General features: G+C 37.9%; 1 annotated feature.

The window, feature by feature from the left end:
* Positions 298 to 973: an enhancer, noted in NCBI's record as "NANOG hESC enhancer chr1:109060171-109060846 (GRCh37/hg19 assembly coordinates)". NCBI's record gives its function as "activates a minimal SCP1, AML or CMV promoter by ChIP-STARR-seq in naive H9 embryonic stem cells {active_cell/tissue: H9 hESC(naive)}" and the evidence as "EXISTENCE:reporter gene assay evidence [ECO:0000049][PMID:30033119]".

Raw genomic sequence — 8,337 nt, forward strand, 5'->3', positions numbered from 1 at the left:
GTGGAGAGTTCTGTAGATGTCTATTAGCTCTGCTTGGTCCAGAGCTGAGTTGAAGTCCTGAATATCCTTGTTAATTTTCTGTTTCATTGATCTGTCTAATATTGACAGTGGGATGTTAAAGTCTCCCACTATTATTGTGTGGGAGTCTAAGTCTCTTTGTAGGTCTCTAAGAACTTGCTTTATGAATCTGGGTTGTGGGGAAAAGAAAGAGAGATCAGATTGTTACTGTGTCTGTGTAGAACGAAGTAGACATAGGAGACTCCATTTTGTTCTCTACTAAGAAAAATTCTTCTGCCTTGAGATGCTGTTAATCTATAGCCTTACCCCCAACCCCGTGCTCTCTGAAACATGTGCTGTGTCAACTCAGGGTTAAATGGATTAAGGGCTGTGCAAGATGTGCTTTGTTAAAACAGATGCTTGAAGGCAGCATGCTCGTTAAGAGTCATCACCACTCCCTAATCTCAAGTACCCAGGGACACAAACACTACGGAAAGCCACAGGGACCTCTGCCTAGGAAAGCCAGGTATTGTCCAAGGTTTCTCCCCATGTGATAGTCTGAAATATGGCCTCGTGGGAAGGGAAAGACCTGACCGTCCCCCAGCCCAACAACCATAAAGGGTCTGTGCTGAGGAGGACTAGTATAAGAGGAAGGAATGCCTCTTTGCAGTTGAGACAAGAGGAAGGCATCTGTCTCCTGCCCATCCCTGGGCAATGGAATGTCTCGGTATAAAACCCAATTGTATGTTCCATCTACTGAGATAGGGGAAAACTGCCTTAGGGCTGGAGGTGGGACATGCGGGCAACAATACTACTCTGTAAGGCATTGAGATGTTTATGTGTATGCATATCTAAAGCACAGCACTTAATTCTTTACCTTGTCTACGATGCAGAGACCTTTGTTCACATGTTTATCTGCTGACCTTCTCTCCATATTATCCTATGACCCTGACACATCCCCCTCTCCAAGAAACACCCAAGAATGATCAATAAATACTAAGGGAACTCAGAGACTGGTGGGATCTTCCATATGCTGAACACTGGTCCCCTGGGCCCCCTTATTTCTTTCTCTATATTTTGTCTCTGTGTCTTTTTCTTTTCCAAGTTTCCCGTTCCACCTAACGAGAAACACCCACAGGTGTGGAGGGGCAACCCACCCCTTCACTGGGTGCTCCTGTATTGGGTGAATATATATTTAGGGTAGTTAGCTCTTCTTGTTGCATTGATTCCTTTACCATTATATAATGCCCTTCTTTGTTTTTTTTAAATCTTTGTTGGTTTAAAGTCTGTTTTATCAGAGACTAGGATTGCAACTCCTGCTTTTTTTTGCTTTCCATTTGCTTGGTAAATATTCTTCCATCCCTTTGTTTTGAGCCTATGTTTGTCTTTGCATGTGAGATGGGTCTCCAGAATACAACACACTGATGGGTCTTGACTGTAGCCGATTTTCCAGACTGTGTCTTTTAATTGGAGCATTTAGCCCATTTACATTTAAGGTTAATGTTGTTATGTGTGAATTTGATTTTGTCAACATGATGCTAGCTGGCTATTTTGCACGTTAGCTGATGCAGTTTCTTCATAGTGTCATTAGTCTTTATATTTTCATATGTTTTTTAGCAGTGGCTGGTACCAATTTTTCCTTTCAATATTTAGTGCTTCCTTCAGGAGCTCTTGTAAGGTGGGCCTGGCAGTAATAAAATCCCTCAGCATTTGCTTGCCTGTAAAGGATTTTATTTCTCCTTTGCTTTTGAAGCTTAGTTTGGCTGGATATGAAATTCTGGGTTGAAAATTATTTTTTTAAGAATGTTGTATATTGGCCCCCTACTGTCTTCTGGCTTGTAAAGTTTCTGCCAAGAGATCCGCTGTTAGTCTGATGGGCTTCCCTTTGTAGGTAACCCGACCTTTCTCTCTGGCTGCTCTTAATGTTTTTTCCTTCATTTCAACTTTGGTGAATCTGATGAGTATGTGTCTTGGGGTTGCTCTTCTTGAGGAGTATCTTAATGGTGTTGTCTGTATATCCTGAATTTGAATGTTGGCCTGTCTTGCTAGGTTGGGGAAGTTCTCCTGGATAATATCCTGAAGTGTTTTCCAACTTGGTTCCCTTCTCCCTGTCAGTTTCAGGTACATCAATCAATTGTAGATTTGATCTTTTCACATAGTCCTATATTTCTTGGAGGCATTGTTGGTTCCTTTTCAGTCTTTTTTCTCTAATCTTGTCTTCATGCTTTATTTCATTAAGTTGATCTTCAATCTCTGTTATGCTTTCTTCTGCTTTATCAATTTGGCTATTGATACTTGTGTATGCTTCACGAAGTTCTCATGCTGTGTTTTCAGCCCCATCGGGTCATTTATGTTCTTCTCTAAACTGGTTATTCTAGTTAGCAGTTCCTGTAACCTCCTATCAAAGTTCTTAGCTTCCTTGCATTGGGTTAGAACATGCTCCTCTATCTCGGAGGAGTTTGTTATTACCCACCTTCTGAAGCCTCCTTCAGTCAATTCGTCAAACTCATTCTCTGTCCAGTTTTGTTCCCTTGCTGGCAAGGAGTTGTGATCCTTTGGAGGAGAAGAGGCATTCTGGTTTTTGGAATTTTCAGCATTTTTGTGCTGGTGTTTCCTCATCTTCGTGGATTTATCTACCTCTGATCTTTGATGCTGAGGACATTTGGATGGGGTTTTTGCTTGGGTGTCTTTTTTATTGATGTTGATATTATTGCTTTCTGTTTGTTAGTTTCCCTTTTAACAGCCAGGACCCTCTTCTGCAGGTCGGCTGGAGTTTGCTGGAGGTCCACCCCAGACCCTGTTTGCCTCTGTATCACCAGCAGAAGCTGCAAAACAGCAAAGACTGCTGCCTGCTTCTTCCTCTGGAAGCTTCATTCCAGAGGGGCACCCACCAGGTGCCAGCCAGAGCTCTCCTGTATGAGGTGTCTGTTGACCCTTGCTGGGAGGTGTCTCCCAGTCAGGAGGCACGAGGGTCAGGGACCCACTTGAGGAGGCAGTCTGTCCCTTAGCAGAGCTCGAGCCCTGTGCTGGGAGAGCCACTGCTCTCTTCAGAGCTTTCAGGCAGGAACATTTACATCTTCTGAAACTACACACATAGCTGCCCCTTCCCCCAGGTGCTCCGTCCCAGGGAGATGGGAGTTTTATCTATAAGGCCCTGACTGGGACTGCTGCCTTTCTTTCAGAGATGCCCAGAGAGGAGGAATCTAGAGAGGCAGTCTGGCTACAGCAGCTTTGCCACACTGCAGTGGGCTCTGCCCAGTCCAAACTTCCCAGCGGCTTTATTTACACTGTGAGGAGAAAACCGCCTACTCAGGCATCAGTGAGAGTGGATGCCCCTGCCCCCATCAAGCCTAAGTGTCCCAGGTTGACTTCAGACTGCTGTGCTGGTAGTGAGAATTTCCAGCCAGTGGATCTTAGCTTGCTGGGCTCCATGGGGTTGGGACCTGCTGAGAAAGACCACTTGGCTCCCTGGCTTCAGCCCCCTTTCCAGGGCAGTGAATGGAAAGTGGCACTGGTGTTCCAGGTGCCACCCAGGTACAAAAGAAAACTCCTGCAGCTAGCTCAGTGTCTGCTTGTGTGGCCACCCAGTTTTGTGCATGAAACCCAGGACCCTGGTGGTATAGGCACCTGAGGGAATCTCCTGGTCTGTGGGTTGTAAAAACCATGGGGAAAATGTAGTATCTGGACCGAATAGCACCATCCCTCATGGCACAGTCCGTCACTGCTTCCCTTGGATAGGGGAGGGAGTTCCTCAACCCCTTGTGCTTCCCGGGTGAGGCGACACCCCACTCTGCTTCAGCTCACCCACCGTGGGCTGCACTCACTGTCTAACCAGTCCCAGTGAGATGAACCGGGTACCTCAGTTGGAAATGCAGAAGTCACCCAACTTCTGCATTGGTCTCGCTGGGAGCTGCAGACCAGACCTGTTCATATTCAGCCATCTTGCCCAGAACCCCCATCTGTGTCTTTATATAGCCTTCTTATAAGGATACCAGTCATTGGATTTAGGGCCCACTCTAACCTAATATGACCTCATCTTAATGAATTATATCTGCAAAGACCCTATTTCCAAATAAGTTCACATTCTGAGGTTCCAAATGCATATGAATTTGGGGGGACATTATTCAACCCAGCACAAGTATAGTAATGCTATTTAGTATGTCTTCAAATAAATTGTAAAAGGGAAGAAAATTCCTTTATGGAAATATAATATGGATACTGAATATGTTATATTTAGAATAGACACATCCCAAAGTACATTCAACTGAGTCTTTTTATTTTACATTATTTTTATATTTATGTATATTTATATTTATACCTTGCCTTGTTCTATGAGGGTTTTGGGGTGTCTTACAATAAGAACACTTAGTTTATAATATGCACAGCATAAAATGTATGCTGCTCATTGTCAATAGTGTATAGTTTTTATTAACAATATAAAATTAGAGATTCAGTAATAAAGGAAGATATAGTAAAATCCTTACTATACGTGAAGTCCACAAAGTTTAATCACATAAAATCCATGGCTACATTATTGCAAAGTTTAAAAAAAAACTGCTCAATTAGTCTTCCAGTTAATGTGTGCTTTATTTGTTTTCATTTATGAGCTATGTAAGAAATAGACCAATTATTACAAAATATGTAGCATACACTGAGTTGAGAAAGCCCCAAATTATCACAAAGTAGTCACTTCCTGACTCTTCACCATGCAGAAGATAATACCTTTAGCTGGTCTTCATTTGAGAATTGCACCCAGGAAAAGAATGGGAGCCAATTGCCAGTTGAATTCCATCTGAATTTACATTATCTCAGAGACATTATCACAGTTTTAACAGTCAAGACCAGAGAATGATGAAATAGAGATGATAAAAGGAAATATAGTCTGTTGCACAATTCTCATTATCAGAAAAAAGAGAATGCATCAGCTCCTTTGGAAAAGCCAAGTTTTGCTATGAGTTGTTTAAAAATGTCTTGCTGAGTGATGAAGGGAGTAGATAATGTCCTTTTAAAATTGCTGAAGTAATTGCAAAATCAGCTTTATAAGGCTGCTTCTTATCAATTGTTTTGTTATAGTGGAGGCCATGATGCTAAAACATAACTCAGTCAAGGCAGTTATGGGAAGGGCCAAGATAATACAAGCCAATGATTCCAGCTTTTTCCAAGAATACAAGTTAAAGTGACTAGAATGTAACTAAAACAAACACCCTTCAAACTCACCTCCCTAAATATCACCTTCCCACCTAGCCTTTCGTTAGGTATGGGATAGTAGACTCTATCTTCCTGTGCTCACTGATGAGAACACAGAAAGCTAATATTCAGAGCTGTTAAATCCATACATGCTTTAAAAACAAGTGAACAGACAGATACATTACATATTTCTTTAAATTTTACATTTGGGAGTACATGTTCTAGTTTGTCACATGGATATATTATGTAGTGGTAATGTTTGGGTTTCTAATGAACCAACCAGCAATAGTGAATATTGTACCCAATAGGTAATTTTTGAGCCCTCATCCTCCTCCCATTCTCCCCTTTTTTGGAGTCCTCAGTGTTATTTTCATCTTTATGTCCATGTGTTCCTATTGTTTAGTTCCCACTTACAAGTGAAAACATGCATAATTTGATTTCTGTTTCTGAGTTATTTCACTTATGGCCTCCAGCTCCATCCATGTTGCTGCAGAGGACATGATTTTATTCATTTTTATGGCTGCATAGTATTCTAATATATATATACCAGATATATATATGATATATATATACCAGATATATATATGATATATATATACCAGATATATATATGATATATATATACCAGATATATATATGATATATATATACCAGATATATATAGGATATATATATACCAGATATATATAGGATATATATATACCAGCTCTATATAGGATATATATATACCAGCTCTATATAGGATATATATACCAGCTCTATATAGGATATATATATACCAGCTCTATATAGGATATATATATACCAGCTCTATATAGGATATATATATACCAGCTCTATATAGGATATATATATACCAGCTCTATATAGGATATATATATACCAGCTCTATATAGGATATATATATACCAGCTATATATAGGATATATATATACCAGCTATATATAGGATATATACACCAGATATATATAGGATATATATATACACCAGATATATATAGGATATATATATACCAGATATATATGATATATATGATATATATGGGATATATATGATATATATGATATATATGGTATATATATGATATATAGTATATATGATATATATGGTATATATATGATATATAGTATATATGATATATATGGTATATATGATATATAGTATATATGATATATATGGTATATATGGTATATATATGATATATGATATATATGATATATATGATATATGATATATATGATATATATGATATATATGGTATATATGATATATATGGTATATATGGTATATATATGATATATATGATATATATGGTATATATATGATATATATGATATATATGGTATATATATGATATATATGATATATATGGTATATATATGATATATATGATATATATGGTATATATATGATATATATGATATATATCATATATATGGTATATATATGATATATATGATATATATCATATATATGGTATATATATGATATATATGGTATATATGATATATGTGATATATGTGATATATATGATATATGTGATATATGTGACATATATGTGACACATATATGTGACATATATGTGATATATATGCTATATATGACATATGATATATGGTATATGACACATATGATATATATGACATATATGATATATTTATATATGACATATATTATATATATTATATGATATATATGAGATATATGACATTTCCTTTACCTAGTCAACCACTGATGTACACTTAGGGTTGAATCTATGACTTTCCTATTGTGAATAGTGCTGTGATAAATATATGAGTGCAGGTCTTTTTGATATAACAATTTATTTTCCTTTGGGTAGCTTCCCTGTAGATTGCTGAGTTGAATGATAGCTCTATGTTTAGCTCTTTGAGAAATCTCTATACTGTTTGCCACAGGAGCTGTACTAATTTTTTTTCCCATCAATAGTGCATAAGTATTCCCTTTTCTCTGCATCCTTGCCAACATCTATTATTTTTTGACTTTTAAATAATAGCCATTCTGACTGATGTGACAAGGTTTCTCGTTGTTTACTTTGCATTTCTCTGATGATTAATGATGTTGAGCATTTTTTTCATGTTTGTTGGTTACTTGTATTTTAAGAAATGTCTGTTCTTGTCCTTTGCCCACTTTTTTAAGGGGTTGTTTTTTTCTTGTTGATTCATTTGAGTTCCTTATAGATTCTGGATATCAGTCCTTTTGTTGAATGCATAGTAAGTAAACATTTTCTCCCTGTATTAGTCTGTTCTCACACTGCTACAAAGAATGGCCTGAGACTGGGTAATTTATAAAGGAAACAGGTTCAATTGACTCACAGTTCCACATGACTGGGGAGGCCTCAGGAAACTTATAATCATGGCAGATAGGGAAGCAAACATGTCCTTCTGCACAAGGCAGCAGAAGAGAGAAGTGTGGAGCGAAGGAGGAGGAACCCCTTATAAAACCATGGGACCTTGTGAGAACTCACTCACTATCATGAGAACAGCATGGGAGATACCACACCCATGATCCAATCACCTCCCACCTGGTCCCTCCCTCGACACATGGGGATTAGGGGGATTACAATTCGAGATGAGATTTGGGTGGGGACAGAGAGCCAAACCATATCACTCCCATTCTGTAGGTTGTCTTAGTTTATTCTGTTGTTTCTTTTGCTGTGCAGAAGCTCATTCATTTAATTATTTGTCTATTTTTGTTTTCATTGTATTTGCTTTTCAGTTCTTAATCATAAATTATTTGCCTAGGCCAATATCCAGAAGAGTTTTTCCTAAGTTTTCTGCTAGGATTTTTGTAGTTTCAGGTCTTACTTTTAAGCCTTTAATCCATCTTTTTTTGTATATAGTAAGAGATATATACAATTTTGTATATAGTGAGAGATAAGGGTACAGTTTGATTCTTCTTCATGTGGTTAGTCAGTTTTCCCAGCACCATTTATTGAATAGGGAGTTCTTTCTCCATTGTTTATTTCTGTCAACTTTGTTCAAGATCAGATGGTTGTAGCTATATGGCTTTATTTCTGGGTTATCTATTCTGTTCCATTCATCTATGTCTATATTTGCACCAGTATCATGTTGTTTTGGTTACTATAGCCTAGTAGTATAGTTTGAAGTCAGGTAATGTGATGTCTCTGGCTTT

This window comes from Homo sapiens, chromosome 1 (assembly GCF_000001405.40).
Source record: "Homo sapiens chromosome 1, GRCh38.p14 Primary Assembly".
Lineage (NCBI taxonomy): Eukaryota > Metazoa > Chordata > Mammalia > Primates > Hominidae > Homo > Homo sapiens.